General features: G+C 44.9%; 1 protein-coding gene across 4 annotated transcripts in view, besides 6 other annotated features; it reads right to left on the bottom strand.

Annotated features, from left to right (window-relative positions):
- Nucleotides 1–16,703, bottom strand: part of RREB1 (ras responsive element binding protein 1) — a 144,238-nt gene that overhangs the window by 84,196 nt on the left and 43,339 nt on the right. The window lies entirely within an intron of this gene.
- Nucleotides 1,035–1,329: an enhancer, noted in NCBI's record as "tiled region #4659; K562 Activating DNase matched - State 5:Enh". NCBI's record gives its function as "activates a minimal TATA promoter and a strong SV40 promoter by Sharpr-MPRA in K562 cells {active_cell/tissue: K562}" and the evidence as "EXISTENCE:reporter gene assay evidence [ECO:0000049][PMID:27701403]".
- Nucleotides 1,964–4,068: an enhancer, noted in NCBI's record as "VISTA enhancer hs2061". NCBI's record gives its function as "enhancer in: trigeminal V (ganglion, cranial)[3/7]" and the evidence as "EXISTENCE:transgenic organism evidence [ECO:0001131][PMID:17130149]".
- Nucleotides 2,435–2,729: an enhancer, noted in NCBI's record as "tiled region #2361; K562 Activating DNase unmatched - State 5:Enh". NCBI's record gives its function as "activates a minimal TATA promoter and a strong SV40 promoter by Sharpr-MPRA in K562 cells {active_cell/tissue: K562}" and the evidence as "EXISTENCE:reporter gene assay evidence [ECO:0000049][PMID:27701403]".
- Nucleotides 6,328–7,289: an enhancer, noted in NCBI's record as "H3K27ac-H3K4me1 hESC enhancer chr6:7160729-7161690 (GRCh37/hg19 assembly coordinates)". NCBI's record gives its function as "activates a minimal SCP1, AML or CMV promoter by ChIP-STARR-seq in naive H9 embryonic stem cells {active_cell/tissue: H9 hESC(naive)}" and the evidence as "EXISTENCE:reporter gene assay evidence [ECO:0000049][PMID:30033119]".
- Nucleotides 6,415–6,709: an enhancer, noted in NCBI's record as "tiled region #2085; K562 Activating non-DNase unmatched - State 5:Enh". NCBI's record gives its function as "activates a minimal TATA promoter and a strong SV40 promoter by Sharpr-MPRA in K562 cells {active_cell/tissue: K562}" and the evidence as "EXISTENCE:reporter gene assay evidence [ECO:0000049][PMID:27701403]".
- Nucleotides 10,672–11,338: an enhancer, noted in NCBI's record as "H3K27ac-H3K4me1 hESC enhancer chr6:7156680-7157346 (GRCh37/hg19 assembly coordinates)". NCBI's record gives its function as "activates a minimal SCP1, AML or CMV promoter by ChIP-STARR-seq in primed H9 embryonic stem cells {active_cell/tissue: H9 hESC(primed)}" and the evidence as "EXISTENCE:reporter gene assay evidence [ECO:0000049][PMID:30033119]".

Below are 16,703 nucleotides of genomic sequence, written 5' to 3'. Positions count from 1 at the left end.
CTGATGCTACACTATTTATCCTCCAACATTCCAGGTAGTCCCTGGGATGATTCTCCTAACTCCTCAATTCACCCATCTGCTTCCCCTATTGGATTGCCAAAACCTTGAAGGCAGGAGCTCACCTTGATGGTCTTCTAAAAAAATTCCTGTCCCCGGCCGGGAGCGGTGGCTCACGCCTGAGGCGGGTAGACTGCCTGAGGTCAGGAGTTCGAGACCAGCCTGGCCAACATAGTGAAACCCCATCTCTACTAAAAATACAAAAAATTAGCTGGGCGTGGTGGCGGGTACCTGTAATCCCAGCTACTCAGGAGGCTGAGGCAGGAGAATTGCTTGAACCCAGGAGGCAGAGGTTGCAGTGAACCAAGATAGTGCCATTGCACTCCAGCCCGGGCAACAAGAGCAAAACTCCATCTCAAAAAAAAAAAAAAAAAAAAATCCTGTCCCAGCCCACAAGTTGGACAATTTAAAATAAATATAATTTGGCTTTTCCCAAATGCAATCCCCTGGCCAATGAGAACAGCTGCTGACACAGTCGCCATGCTATCTGGCGACCAGGAAATAAAAACCCCTCTGACTTCAGTTGCTGCTGAAACCAATCCTGGTCAGCTTCACGTTTGGTTAATTACGGAAGTACACACTACTGGCTGCCACAGGGATGCAGCTCTTTCTTCCCTATATTCACCAAGCTGCTTCTCTCCCAACTAACTGCAGCACCTGAATACAGCATGGCTGACACCATGACAATGTATGGTAGAAATGGGAGTGTTCTGGGACACATCTCTGAAGTGAATCTAAGTATCTTCGGTCACATTTCCAGCTTCTGGTAAGAAGCTAGGGTAAAGTTCAGTAGCAGTTTGCATAGAGTTTTAGGCAATATCCTGCAACTCTTTCACAGGCCCTGAGGTCGCCGGGCTGGCCTTTCTGACATGCTCAGGGAAAGGGTGCAGCAGCAACGGGATTCTCCACTTTGCCCCAGGGACGAGCTGCAAGCTAAGCAATCCCAGGGCAGGTGATTTACCTTAAATCTGGGCTTCGAATTCCCAGAATTCAGGATGACACTCCTTAGAAAACCAAAATGACTTGTGGAAGATACAAGCGTTTGAAATGCTTCTCCCCTAACAGCTTAGCTTAGAGAAGGCAGTGGAAGGAGGAGATCACATCTTTCCTCGCCCATTGGAAAAGTGGTCAGCTGTGGTCAAAATTTCACAGTGCGTAATCAGACGTTACAAACCGTCAGCTGGGAATGACTGTGTGCGGTGAAGTGACCACGCCCAGCTCCCAGGAGCTGCATGGGCTGCCCTCCGCCATACAACAGAAAACCTCCCATCCCCTCACCCCCAAATTCGCCTCTAAGAAAAGTATTTACTACTGTGCATATGAAGGAAAACAAATGCTCTGAGATATAAGTGGTTGATAAGTGTTTATCACAAGCTAGCCAACCAAAAACACTGGCAAGCAAATGGGTTTTCTTAAAGTAAACTGAGCAAACCAAAAATGACTAGCAGGCAGGATGGGCCTTTTTGGAAAGCCCATGTGCAGCTGGGAGAGGAGGTGGCATGTTCCTGGACCAGCAGAGGCACCTTGGAAGGAGGGGGCCAAGGCCAGGGGCTGGCAGTTGGGGGTGGGAGTGGGGATTAGTGCAGTCCTGGAGGAAGTGTGAGGCACACAGGCTCTCCAGGCGGTGATTAGTTCACAACTGCACTCCCTGGGGGGTCTAACTGCACAAAGGGCCACCGCCCCTCCACGGCCCAGCGGGGCCTGAAACAAGCATCATGTCCCTGAAGCACACTTGTTCACTTGCTTTGGATTGAGCTCACACAGGGCACTGAACATGCCCAGGCTCTTAAGTGTGGGTTCATGTTTACAAGCCCCACCCTGAGAAACAGATAACCCCTTTGCAAGCCCCCAAACTCCCCCCAAATGTTACAAAGAACAGGAAGGAAAACTGAAAAGGGGAGATAGACACCAGCAGGACAGTCTCTTCCTTCAAACTCTTTCATACCCGGGCAATAATTGGGTCAACACCAGAAGCACAACTAAGAGGAGATGCGCACACTTCAGAGAAGCACAGCCGCCCTGCCTGCTCATCTGCCCAGTCCAAGGGCAGCTGGACACGCCCACCCAGTCCCCATGGGTCAGACACACCTTAACAGGGAAAATCTCTGTAGCACACAGATTTGTAAATCCAAGCTGATGCCTATTTAATGTAACCCAGTATGTAATGGGAACATTCTCAATCAAAAGCCTACCTCTACCAGTATTTTCATGACATGAAATTGTTTTGGCATACTTTTGAAACCAAGTCCTGCTTCTCAGAATTCTTCAACACGCTTGTGATCATAAAAATGAGGCATGTCTTGCTCACCACCCGTAATTTACTTGAATGCATGTGACAAAGGCACCTTCATGTTGTTTAAAAAGGACATCCCTACTCTTTCCTTTTATCTTCCCTTAACAGTTTGTTATCCAGTGTTAGGAGGGGCCTAGCCTCCAACAGTCCACACTTTTATCTCCTGCTGACCACACGAAGGCAAGGGCTGGACTTCCTGCAGCTCGCCTAGAGGGGCTGTTTGACTTGTTTAAAATATTTGCCTCCAGAGCCTCTTGGAACAATGCCCAAGCAACACCTACCCGGCATCCATTGCAGCTCCAACTCTAACAGCCTTCAAGTCCAACGGATAGCACTCCTTGTGCCTCTGTGTGTGAGAGGCCAATGCTTCCGAGAAGAGAACTTACTTTCAGGGCTCACTTAGACATTTGCTTTCTGTCTGCTGCAAACACAAGAGCTATCTTCATCAAAGTCCAGAAACCCGAGAAGTTAGTTACAGTAGCTCAAGTTAAATGTAGTTTACACTACTATTCTTAAAATAATTCAGTAGCATTTAATAGCGTCCTTTAACCACTGGAACTGAAAGCAGAACACCATGTCCTTGCACAAGCAAATGGCCTGGAATACACTGGACCCCTCGCCTTTGGAGCGAGGCCAGGTCGTGGTCTTTGATTTTCCTCCCAATCCTAACTCTGTGCCTGAGATTTGACTCTGTGGGGATGTCTAGGTGTTTTTAGGTTCAGACTCAAAAGCACTTCCATCTGCCTGGCACTTAGAGCTTTGCTGTGAATATCCAGGACTCAGTATAGCAGCAAAATCCACTCTTTTGTGCATCAATCAAGAGGGTTGTGAGACTGTGCTTGTCACTTATGGGATGGGATGACCTGAGGGAACTCACACACCAGTGGACAGAGTTCCTGACTCCCTGCCATACAAGGGTAGGAGTTCCATTTTCTTGGCATCCCATCAGCATATGTGAGGTTAATGCATTCAGAAAATGATTAAATCAGACATTTACCACAGTCCCCCTGGAGTTCCTTTCTGGGATACAAAAGATCTTCCTAAAATCAATTAAGGAAAGGAGAAATTTCCTTGCCCAAATACCTACCACTGAACCCCTAACAGTCACACAGGTAAGAGAACCGGGTGGGGGAAAGGAGATGGGCAGTGGGGATTGATGATAGTAGGTAGGGAAGGCCATGGCGAAAAGGGTGGGAGGTGAGGAACAGAAGCCAGCTTACAGAATGAGTCCACAATCTGAATTTCTGCGCCAACTCTCCAGAATGGAGCCAGTATTTTTTAGGATCTTTTTTTTTATGAGTCTAGATAATAGATGAGTCAGACAGGGCATGTGTGGCGACCAGAGGAACTGTGCTGTCCCCCCACAGAACTTAGAACGGTGCCTCTATGTGGCCCCTCTCCTACAGCCACAGGACCCAGCCCCGATAGGGGCCCATGGGAGAACAGGAGCCAGCTGACTGGCTCAACCCCACCGGCCAAACGGCAAGTACTCTTCAGCATCCTCAATTTCCTCCCAGCCACGAAGTCAGGAACAACCTGTACAGACAAAGAAAATAGAAAACTTGCGAAACAATGGCATCTATCATGCTCACTGGATATGTCCGAGGAAACTTTTTCAAAGTCCTTGAAGATGCTTCATTATACTTCTGCAAAGAAAATGCAGTCCACTATACCCAGGCACACACGTGCTCACACAAACTCAATTTCATGCTCTGCCAGCCCCACAACTAAAACGCTGAAGTGCCAGGCGCGGTGGCTCACGCCTGTAATCCCAGCACTTTGGGAGGCCGAGGCGGGCAGATCATGAGGTCAGGAGATCGAGACCATCCTGGCTAACACGGTGAAACCCCATCTCTACTAAAAATACAAAAAAAAATTAGCCGGGCGTGGTGGCGGGTGCCTGTAGTCCCAGCTACTCAGGAGGCTGAGGCAGGAGAATGGTGTGAACCCAGGAGGTAGAGCTTGCAGTGAGCCAAGATAGCACCATTGCACTCCAGCCTGGGCAACAGAGCAAGACTCTTTCTCAATAAATAAATAAATAAAATAAAATAAAACGCTGAAGTCAAAGAACAGCCTCAGTCACCAAACCAATTTAGAATGGGAACTAACACATTTCCACGAAGTATTTCAGAGGCCAGTGACTTCCTGGAGTGCTCCCAATCTGCAAACAGAATTTTCCTAAGGGGTAAAAAAAAGGCTCAACAGATTATACAAATGGCTACCTGGCCACGGTAAATATGTGAGAAAAAACTCACTGTCTCTTTATTCCTTGTAGTTAAACTTTAACGCTCTGCTCTCATCAAGGGAAGAATAGTCCTTTCAAGGCTTCCTCCAAAAGACACTGCTAATTATGGTGATGGCTTTCTCTTACCCTACTAGTCAAGATTCACTTTTAATGGATGAGAGTTTGGAAGATAGATATGCAAGTGTGGTGGTGGGTACCTGTAGTCCCAGCTACTCAGGAAGCTGAGGTGGGAGGATCGCCTGAGCCCAGGGAGGTTGAGGCTACAGTGAGCACTGACCGTGACACTGCACTCTAGCCTAGGCAACAGAGTGAGACCCTCTCTCAAAAAATGAAAAAATAAAAAAATAAAAATAAAATAAAATAAAATAAAGGGGAGCAGTCTACTCAGTTTCCTGCAGCTGGAGTTGTAGGCCCATCCTTGCTGCTTTCAGAGTGTATCCAATCCGTAGGCAGAGAAAAATGGGTATTCTCAGCATGTTGTTAAAATTAGTGGCTTAAAATATTCTATACTGTTTGTATACCCTACACATAGGGTAAGGTTTGGGATCTGTGCGAAAACCTGGGAGATTATGACGATCATCCTCAGACATCTAAGGCTACTAACATTCCAGGTGCCAGAACCACCAAGAGCTGTAAGACAGAGAGCCCTGGCTTCCTATGTCAGAGGAAACACAGAGAGGGAAATTTCAACTCCAGGGAACCTGGAGTATGAGCCAAACACTTCCAGAGCTGCAGTGGCTCACCAGAGGTAAGCACCACTGAGTGCAAGGCGAGGGCAGCACAGCAAAAGCAAACCTGAGCTTGAAGAAGAGATTCGCCTCCCAGCCACACGCAGAAAGCTGTTAACACAGTGTGCAGAAAAAGCAGATGATTTGCTGAGTTTCTCACAATGCTGAATTCATTCTTTTTTTTTTTTAGGGTAAACTGCCATCTTTTAAAATGAGATAAAGACAGTAGATGGTAGAGATCATTTTTTAATGCCCTTACTTAGCAAAATAAAAAAACGGCAACCTTGTGTCTAACTGCAAAAGTTTTGTGTGTCTTGTCCATGAAAACAAAACCCCTGGGAGCTATCAGAGTGCACCAGTGTGTTTTGAGAAAGGAGGGAGAGTGCAGTGGGGGAAATGGCAAAGATGCGGCTGGCAGAATGATGCTGGGCTCAAGGTTCCATCTAAGAGCCATGAACTTTATCCTGTTGCTCTGGAAACCCACTGAAGGGCCCCTCCTCACAATTTTTAAAGCCCACGATGAAATAATCGTATCCACAGCTTAAAAAGCTCTTGGTAGCAGATTTAAAAATGGACAATCAGAGGTATATAACCCAGTTAGGAGGCACTGCCATACTCTTAAGGGACAGGGGCACTACAGCTGGTGGGTGGAAGCAATGCTGTAGAGAAGGAACCAAAAGGAGGCCAGGCAGGCGTCGAGAATGAAGGGCAGGAGTTAGGAAGAGAGCTCCCAGGACAGGAGAGAGTAAAGAGCATGGATGGTTATCAAGTAGGATTTAGAGGAGTTTTGTTTTAAAGCAAACCTACAAATAAATATCTATAACCAAAATGCAGCAGATGGGGAAAAACAGCTGGTTTTGAGAAAGATAGGAAAGGAGGGCATGGGGGATCCCAGGCACAGGAAGATGAAACACAGTGAAACATAACACAAACACAGGCAACCATACTAATATACATGTTAATTGTCAAACTGAACTCTATGAACAGTTGTACCTCTTTCTCTTCTGTGTCAAGTCTAACCATCCTAAGAACATCTGCAGTCTTTAATTTGTTTGCCTCCTGGGGTTTTTAAACCCTAAAGCAGGAATAAAGGTGATCTGGGATGGTTTTACCTGCAGGCTTGGGAGGGGAGTTAGTGGATCTCAAAGTAACTTACTTTGCCTAGTGTTGACTAGAGTTTCAGTTCATAGAGGGAAATAATCCATGAAACCAACAATAGAGGGACGTGTCATAAGCAGGCTGACCTCTCCCAGGTGAGTCATCCCCACCCTGCCCCATCTACCCTAAACCTGCTTGAACCTGGTCCCACCTCAAACATAAAGGTCAATGTGGGCTGGACACTGTGCCTCACACCTGTAATCCCAGCACTTTGCAAGGCCGAGGCGAGAGGATCGGTTTGGCCCTAGAGTTCGAGATCAGCCTGGGCAACATGGCGAAACTCTATCTAGACAAAAAACACAAAAAGTTACCCAGATGTGGGCCGGGTGCAGTGGCTCACGCCTGTAATCCCAGCACTTTGGAAGGCTGAGGCGGGTGGATCACGAGGTCAGGAGATGGAGACCATCCTGGCCAACAAAGTGAAACTCCATCTCTACTAAAATACAAAAATTAGCTGGGCATGGTGGCGCGTGCCTGTAATCCCAGCTACTCAGGAGGCTGAGGCAGGAGAATTGCTTGAACCAGGGAGTCGGAGGTTGCAGTGAGCTGAGATTGCACCACAGTACTTCAGCCTGGTGACAGAATGAGACTCCGTCTCAAAAAGAAAAAAAAAAGAAAAAAAAAAAGTTATCCAGGTGTGGTGTTGTGCGCCTGTAATCCCAGCTACTCAGGAAGCTGAACCGGGAGGATTGTTTGAGCTCAGGAGGTCAAGGCTGCAGTGAGCGGTGATCACACCACTGCATTCCAGCCTGGGTGACAAACTGAGACCCTGTCTCAAAAAAAAGTCAATGTGTGAAAACATGGGAAAATGTTTATAAAGTTAGGTCAAGTTTAAAAAGCTAGCTGGCACATTTAAGATTCTATGCTATACTTATGGATAAAGTCTAGAAAAGGCAATCTGAAACAACGTATGTATCATGAGAATACAGTGCTTTTTTAAGTATAATTTGATGTCACTATTTTTTTTTAAAAAAACTTAACATAATTTTTGAAAATATACCAGAAAGACCCAACTATTCGTGACGCCAGGAGTTTGAGACCAGCTTGGGCAATATAGCAAGACCCCTGTGTCTAAAAATTTTTTTTAATTTGCTGGGCTTGGTAGTGAGCTATAATTGTACCACTGAACTCAAGTAGCCTGGGTGGCAGAGGGAAAACCTGTCTCATTTAAAAAAAAAAAATGCAAAAAAGAAAGTGATCAAATTTCAGTCCTTAATTGCACCCTGCCCTCCCTCCCCCAATTTATGTATCTTTAGTCTGTAGCTCAGTGCCTGGCACACAGTAGGCATTGTTTCTCTCAATCTATAACAGGTACTGCAAGCCAACTATGGGCCAGCTGAGCTGAACAGATGACATGCTTAGGTTGATAAGCCTTGTTCTGTAGACAAGTGCAAGAGTCATACCCTTGAAACCACATGTAAAATGCAGACAGTATTCAGCTTTAGGAAAATAGTCCATAAATTTGATCAGCCTTTCAAAAGAATCTATGATTTCCAGGAAAGGACAGAACTACGGCAGTGGTCTGACCCTCAGCAGATTTAATCCTACTTTTGGAGAGTTAAGGAGACTGGCAGGCTTTTTCCTTACTTACTACTGCCATCAGTTTCAGGCAGGCCACCAACAATAAGTAAAAACACTGGCAACACCAAATCCTCTAACCTTCCCTTTTCTTGTAAAGATGAGATGAGATAAACCATCTCATCAGCGTTTTGATATTTCACTCAAAACATTATTGACACAAGGCAATAACCCAGTGAACATTCGTTAAATCAATTCCTAAAGCAATCCGCCCAGTGCCTGTAATAAACAGTTATAATTTTAAAACAGAACTCATCCTCTGGAAAGGAACGAGAGGGGAGACATCCTTGTGAGCCCCATCTATGCGGCTGTCCCGTTATTCCAGGAATGATGTTGGGATTCGAGTTAGTTTCTGAATGATGACTATCAGGTTAAAACTTTCTCAGTGTGACTGTGAACACATCTAGGCCATCAAAGATGCTGGGGAGGTTTTCTGTAAAGAAGTCCTCCTGTGGGTGTAAACATGGCCCACAACCTATCAATTCCTAGGAACCTCAAAGGGGTCACAGAATAGAGGGTGGTCTTACGGAGAATGTTTGTTTTGCAATAAGTAAGAGGTACAGGGGCCTTAGTGATCCTTTTAAATTTAAGTCAACAATCATTAAATCTGAGTCCCCCTATGCACTGAACATTTCTGCTTACTTAAATTGCAGTGCATAAATCGGCTATAAAAGGAGGGATTATATCAACTATAAAATTCAAAAGTCACAACCAGGGGAGTGGGAAAAGTGACTGTGATTTAAAGGTGTTTGGAGGGTAGGGGTGAGCTGGCTCAGTCCTTCTTTTATCCTGTGTCCTTTGAAGATGAAAACTAATCAGTTTTTTCCTGGCCTTTAAGCTATCAAGGTTTAAAAAAAAAAGAGTCTGAAAAAAATAAACAAATGGGACCCACAATCTACCTTCAAATGATTTGGGGGTGAAATACTCTACTTTAGGCCCTCAAATATTTCTTGATGATAAAAATGTATGTCAGCTACTTCAATTAGTAACTCCTGATCCACTACTAGGTTGGGGTGGGGAACTCCATAAGCTTACCACTTGGTAAGAGGTAAAAGAAAGCTTGGGAAGGTAAGAGAATTAAGTGCTGTCTATACAATTCTAATTTTAGGTCTAGAAAAAGCAGAGATTAGTGGACTGGGGTAGTGTAAGAGGAAGGGTATGGAGGTGGAGGCTGGAGGGAGCTGATACCCAGGAAGTACCACAAGAAGCCCAGGAGCCAGGTCCTGCTGAAGGGCAGGGGCCTCATTACAGAGGGTGTGTGTGGAGTGGGCAAATTACAGGAGGTGGGAGAGTTGGGGTTGGGTCTGGGGCAGTAGGGGGTGTAGGCTGAGAAAAGTGATGTAAGAGTTTTAAGAAAACCTGTTTGAACATGGTATGGGATTGCAGGGGAGGGAGACCTGCCTACAAACGGGAACAAAGGGAATAGGGAGGGAAAGTTAAACCTGAACAACTTTCAAAGGGGAGGCAGGTGGGGTAGACAATGGAAAGGGCAGAAAGGAAGAGAGTCGCTCTGGCCACAGGCAAGTGTCCTGGGGCACTAAATGGTGCTTGGGAAGAAGTTTTAGATTGTTAGGGGGGTTAGGCTACATTCTTTTGCAGAGATTCTTGAATGTGAAGAAATGGAAAGGGATCCAGAAGGTCTTGGTCCTGTGGGATTCATACCCTGAAGAATGCACGTGGGATGAATCCCTCCACAGAGAAGTCAGGCATGAGCCGGCTGATGATATTCAGGGCTAAGCAGGGTCACTGATGAGAACATGAAAACACCCCTGGTAGGGCACAGGCACAGCAACAGGGGCTGGCAAGGATGAGGTCCCCAGGAGGCAGGAATCCAGACAAATGTGAAGGCATTAGCAGCGAGTGGTAGAGCCCTCTTCTGGAGTCAGGAGGGATGAAAGAGCAAAGAGGAACAGTGGAGAGGGAGCACAAGAGAACTCGTAAGTTGGATTTTTTTTTTTTCCCAAAGAGACAGACAGAGTCTTGCTCTGTCACCCAGGTTGGAGTATGGCTCACTGCAGCCCTGACTTTCCAGGATCAAGCAACCCTCCGACCTCAGCTTCTCAAATGCTGGGACCACAGGTGCGCACCACCACACCATGCTAACTTTATTTTTTTTTTGGAGAGACGGAGTCTCACTATGTTGCCCAGGCTGGTCTCGAACTCCTGGGCTCGAGCAATCCACCTGCTTCAGCCTCTCAAAGTGCTGGGATTACAGGCATGAACCACTGTGCCTGGCCCATGGTCACACAGGGTACATGTGCACACAGTAGGCACTCAATTTTTTTTTTTTTTGAGATGGAGTCTTACTCTGTTGCCCAGGCTGGAGTGCAGCTGCACGATCTTGGCTCACTACAACCTCCACCTCCCGGGTTCAAGCAATTCTTGTGCCTCAGCCTCCTAAGTGGCTGGGACTACAGGCACGCCCCACCACACCTGGCTAAGTTTTTGTATTTTTGGTAGAGACAGGGTTTCACCATGTTGCCTAGGCTGGTCTCCAACTTCCTGAACTCAAGCCATCTGCCTGCCTCTGCATCCCAAAGTGCTGGGATTTCAGACGTGAGCCACCGCGCCCAGCCAAATATTTTACTAATTAATTAGTCATCTCCAAAAAATGGGCAGTCGGGTCTTATACTATGAGTAAGAAGAAGAGAAAAGAAGAGCTGATGGATTACGGAGCAAAGGACCCCAGGGAGCTGGGGCAAGGCAGCCCAGCGGCAGTCAGACAGACAAAGTCCTCCCCAACAGCCAGGGACGACGAAGCTGAACAGAGGGGCAGCTCTTGGTCAGCTTTGGCATTTAAGACCATGTGATCTCAAGGTGCTCTTGAACAAGAATGGGTACACAGGAGCAGCCAAGTGGCACTCTGGAACCCTCTCCTCCTACTCAGGGTACGTACACAGCATCCTGTTTCCTACGCTGGATGGCTGGCTAAGGAGAAGGAAGGAAAACTAAGATTGTCTTATTTCAAAGGGCTGCAACTATATTCCAGCTGTTACAGGCAAGCCTGTTATGTTTCTTCCAACGGATGCCCAATTCACACACATAGCTGCTCTCCTCAAGAATAAACAAGTGGATTCTATATACAAATACCAAGGGCACCAGGTCTCCAAAAGGAGAAAAAATTTGTTTTACAAATGTCCAACCCAAAATGGCTTTCACATTTTTTTCAGGGTGAATTTTGCAGCTCTAACCCAGATGTGGCTCAGTGCGGAAGGTGGCTGGGAGAGCCACAAGGGACTGGCTGGTGTTCCCTCTTAAGAGGCAAAAAGCACATCAAGGGCACAGTGTTCCCTGGCCTTCCTCACAGGTTAGATTGGTCTGAGCAAATCTGTGATTCAATTAGTGTGAGTTCAGTTGCTCTTTTTTAGGTCAGTTCTTTCTTTTGTTTAGATTTGACTCGAGATTTACCTCAATTATCTACACCTCTGCTGAAGTACCTAAGCAAATTAAACCATTTAAAGTGATGAAGGGAAAGGAAGTGGACGGAGCTTTAAAACAACTTATGCAAATAATTTCCTCCCTCTCCCACCTCTGTTCCCTTCAATTACTAAACTCCAAGACAAGCAACTGCTTCTCAAACGAAAAGTCTAGACTCTTAAGTGTGAATGAGAAAAAACCCCGTGGTTAAGCCCTGGCTTGCAGAAAACTAAAAATTTCAGCAAATCTGGAATGAAATGTTACTTTGTGAGTTATACAAAGCTTAGCAGCTGTTCCCAGCCAACATGAAACCCGAAAGGGGTGATGCTATCTTTATCTTCTACCTAGAGTTAAAGCCGGTACTGTCCAGGACAGAGCTGCCAAGGAGCTGTCTCAGTTCTAGTCTGCTGAACACAAAAGACAAAGAAGCCAAGGGAATACATGGGCCAGCAAAGGACACCTAAACAACAACAAATAATAGACCCACCTGGAAGAAAGAAAATGCAGTTAATAATTAAAAAATTTAAAAGGATGCAAGTTCTTAATGTCACTTGGAAAATCCTTTTCAATCAGTTCAAAATTCAAAAGATTAAATCACATCTAACTCTATCTGGATTTCCCAAGTGCAAGGGGAGGAAACTATTTTATCAGGTTTCTTGGAAGGGAAAACACATTTTCTCTATTAAAACTTAAGTCCTGGCCGGATGCTGTGGCTCACGCCTGTAATCCCAGCACCTTGGGAGGCTGAGGCAGGCCAATCACCTGAGGTCAGGAGTTCGAGACTAGCCAGGCCAACAGGGTGAAACCCTGTCTCTACCAAAAATATGAAAATTAGCTGGGTGTGGTGGCACAGGCCTATAATCCCAGCCACTCGGGAGGCTGAGTGAGGCAGGAGAATCGCTTAAACCCGGGAGACGGAAGTTGCAGTGAGCCAAGATCGTGCCACTGCACTCCAGCCTGGGCAACAGAGCAAAGCTCTGTCTCAGACAAACAAACAAACAAAACAAAACTGAAGTCCAGCTCATAAAGACTTCATAGAAACCTTCTTCAGACCACCTGATGGAATCAGGCCTCAGATGAGCATCTCAGGGCAGGCAGATGGATGATGGAAAAAGACCAAAGAAGAATCAAAAGGGAGGGTGATGAGAACAGGGCCTTTCTTCTCATAAGCCTGAAAATTACACATAGGTTAACTGAAGAAAATATTCTTCTAGTGCGACTGAACTATCTCCCTCTGAGAAACCACTTCCCACTAGGCCCCTTCGTTCCGCCCCTAACAACCCCGTTCTATTTATTGTTCAGTTTTAAATGACTGGGCAGCTGCTGCCTAGCCATGCCCCTCTAGTATTGACCAACACTGTCACCAGCACCCCCCACACGTAAACCACCAACGAATGAAGCTCGTGGTAAGGGGGCTTAACTTGGAATGTGAACTGTCACCAGCACACCACACTTCCTGCGAACTCTGACAGACTGTCTCCATTCAAGAAAAAATGAAAAGACTACCTTAAGGCCCGGTGGGTAACCACCCAAAGATGAACAAGCGGAATTGCATGGTAGTTAAGGAGTAGGCTCTGGAACCACATCGCAAATCCTGCCTCTACCACTTGCCAGCAGTGGTAAGTGGCCTGACCCTTAGACAGTTAGGGAACCTCTCAGTTCTGCAATTTCCTCATCTGTGAGATGGAGACAATAATAATACTGAAATCATATGACTGTTCTGAGAAATAGATTAGTCAAATCTATAAAGTGCTAAAACCTGTCTGGCACACATGATACCATCCCTCAGTGCTTTTTATTATCATATACATGCTCACACCTGAGCACACATACTGTACGTTCACATTAGCAAGTGTCTATTAGTCCTTCACGTCCCCAGTGATGAGTTCAACAGGTGCTACAAACATTGTACTCCCACTGGGCAGTCATTTTCAAACTTTAGTATGCACCTGGAGAGCTTATGATAACAGATTTCTGGGCCCCACCTCCACATTTCTGATTCAGCAGGGCTGGAGTGGGGCCTAGGAATCTGTGTTTCTAACAAGTTCCCAGGTGATGCTAATGCTGCTTGTCTGGGGACCACACTTTGAGAACCAAAGTGTCATTATGTTCTAGGCTTCAGGCCTAAGCTTCATCTAGTTTATGTGCATAGAGAACCTTATGGAGATGAAATGGAAAAGGAGAATAAAGCAAAGATGCTCACTGCTCAAAGAATATCCACATATTCTTCCATATTTCCTGGCAACCGTATACCTTTGTGGTCAGGCAGGTCACATGACTAGTCCTGGCCAATGAGCTGTGAGCACAAGTACCAGCCATCACTTCCAGACTGCAGCCTTTCAAAGTCAGTATGTAACCCACTAGCTCTTTCCTTGTGGTGGCAACCTGGAAGCATGTGTAATGACAGAGTAGCTATAAGACAAGAGCAGCCTGGATCCCTGGGTTACCACTTGTAAGGGAGCTATACTAGAGAGCTGCCAGACCTGCAGAGGATTCTACACCAACAAGCAACGGCACTTTATGGGTTGAGCCACTGGGATTTCAGGCTTTGTTTGATACTTCAACATAGCTTCGCTTAGCCTGACTTCATTATAAAGAGGATGCCCACATCATCAGTCTTAAGCCCAACCTATCAAACAGATCTGAGATATTTTATAAAATCAGCCAGAATTTCTACCCTACTCTCATTCACTTCTATTCACCAAAACAGATGAACTGTTTTTAACCTCCTATTTTCGGTCTGTTTCTCACTAACTAAAAAAATTATTTACTGCAACATGATTATGTACTAGTTGCTAATAATTTAGAAAGCTCAGTCCGCTAAAATGTATTAAAAATGTGAAAAGTAAATACATTGGAGGATTTGTGTGTGTGTGTGTGTGTGTGTGTGTGTGTATACCACTACTGGAATCCCTTGACTTTAATTGAGTAGGGAGGAGCAAGAGTAAAGGGTTTCAATTTTATTTATGTAATCACGTGTGGACTGATAACTTGTTTTGCCAAAACAGGAGAAAGTGATCTCTTTAAGGGCATCAGAATTTAACCACAAAGCTACTTTTTTTAAAAAAAAATAATAGTTCTACTAATCTAGGAACATTTTGCAGTTTAACATGTAGGTAATGAGCTGTCAACAGTATACAACTTACCAGACTGTGGAATGAAACATTAAAAATATTTTCCTCAAAAAAAAAAAAAAAAAAAAACCCTCTCACAAAGATTAATACCTCCTTCACTGTCACACACACACACCAAAACACATTACAATCCAGAACACCTCAATTAACAACTTAAGACTACAAAATTCATGAAATACACAAAATTAAAAGAATTGGGGAGAGGGAACTAAGAAGTATGTAAGAGAATCGCATAGGACCTTTCAGGTCTGCAGAGCAAAGCAGCACTTCTTTGGAGGGCTATCTTTTAGTGGGATTGACAACTAATCTCAAAGGTGGTGGAATTTCCTGCTAGAATTCTCTCTAGCACTTTCTACAGAGAGCACTGGAACAACTCCTTTGTGTACACACACACATTTTAAAAACTCACTTGCTAAGGAGCTCAGTGACTTCTGCTTCCCACTTAGCACTGGCAAAGCTAAGCACTGAGATGAAGGGACCCTGCTGCTCCTGGCCTTCTCAAGTTCATAGGCCCCTCCAGTGCCTCATTCTCTGGGTGTGTCACATTCCATCTCTTTAGGTACTTCCATGTGGCCAAAAAGGAAAGGAAAAAAAAGGTAAACACTCATGTGATGCATTTGGTCACATTTATAGCTCAGCTGTAAAATCAAACTTGAGAATAATAAAAAGGCCCCAATGCTAAAGGCTGAATTTCTTTCATATGTTTCATAGCTATTCAGCAACTGTTGGGTTTTTTGGTGAGTGGATTATTTTCTTCATTTCTGTCTTTCAGGAGACATAAAAAAAGTCAATTAACAATAATGAAAACCTAAAGATCTAACATTAGTGAAGGTCTATTTTTAAAATCATGTAATACACCACTTATAAGAAATTAGAGAGACCAAGAAAGTCATCATGTACACCCTAAAACAGGATTATTTCTGTACTTTTCATAAGGAGCTAACACTGAGAGAGGTTCCCTTAGGATACTGGAAACAACAGGAATAATGTGCAATTAGATACCAAGTGGACTTATACACACAGCTAAAAAACTCAGCATCACATCTTACTATCACTCTCCCATAAAGCCCCAGAACTCCCTATTATTTAGCAAGGTGATTTTCTAAAACTCATAATGCATCCTCAAATCAATGTCCTTGTGTATGTACCTACAAGGGAAATATAGTGAGAATATCCAACGTTTTGAAAACGAAAGCCATCTAAAAGTGATTTCACATAGTTTCTGTGATTTCACTTGCTTGGTTTATTTCTCCCCCATAGTCCTGTTCATCACAAGAGACACTCAAACTATAAGTAAATTCCTGGGAGCTTATAAATGATATGCTTTATACAGCCAAAATGTCCAAAAAGATTTGTGGTTTCAGACTTTTACACACTGTTCCCGTGTCAGTAATTGATTTGTGAGAACTTAACAAGATGATCTCTGCTCCTAGCCTCAACCTGGCAAGGCCACCTTCTCCCTGACCCTGCAGGGAACTGCAGTGTGTGCTCAGCAGTGGGGCTGCTGCCCATTGGCCTCACTAATGTTACCTCCCCTTTAAGCTCTACCAACTTGCACCTAAATCTCAGCCCATTCAAGTGTCATGTGCCTGCAATGTGCAACATCTATGCAGATGTTAAGGCCATGACCAAAACCAGTTCTCAGCGAAATGACTCCCAAGCCAGCACACCCCAAGCACTTTGAAGTCCCTGTTCTGCGTGGACTCCATAGCACAGAGGTTGCCAGGGCCTGCTGCTCCTGGGGGCTGGTTTGTAGATCATATGACTGCTGAAATCCCTTAGATAAAAGCAGGCATTGTCCACTTTTCCTTGAAATCTTGAAATCCTGGATAAGACCAGCAATCAAGTAACATTTCAATCCTCCAACAACCTTAAATCAATTGATCAAATTCTTCTCTTTGGGCCTCAGCTCCCCCCTTATACATAATACAATATCTAGTAAAAGCAATTTTAGTCAGTGTTTAAAGCAGACTGATTGCATTTATATTAAATAAAAGATAGGATTACGTGAAGGGGGCAAAGCTTTTAAAACAAACAATGAACCACCCAACAAATTTCCGCAGTATCTTTAAACTGCTCTGGAAGCATCAAGA

Source organism: Homo sapiens, chromosome 6 (assembly GCF_000001405.40).
Source record: "Homo sapiens chromosome 6, GRCh38.p14 Primary Assembly".
In the NCBI taxonomy this organism is placed as follows: domain Eukaryota; kingdom Metazoa; phylum Chordata; class Mammalia; order Primates; family Hominidae; genus Homo; species Homo sapiens.
The sequence above is the reverse complement of the archived record's forward strand: the minus strand, read 5'-3'. Positions and strand labels throughout refer to the sequence as shown.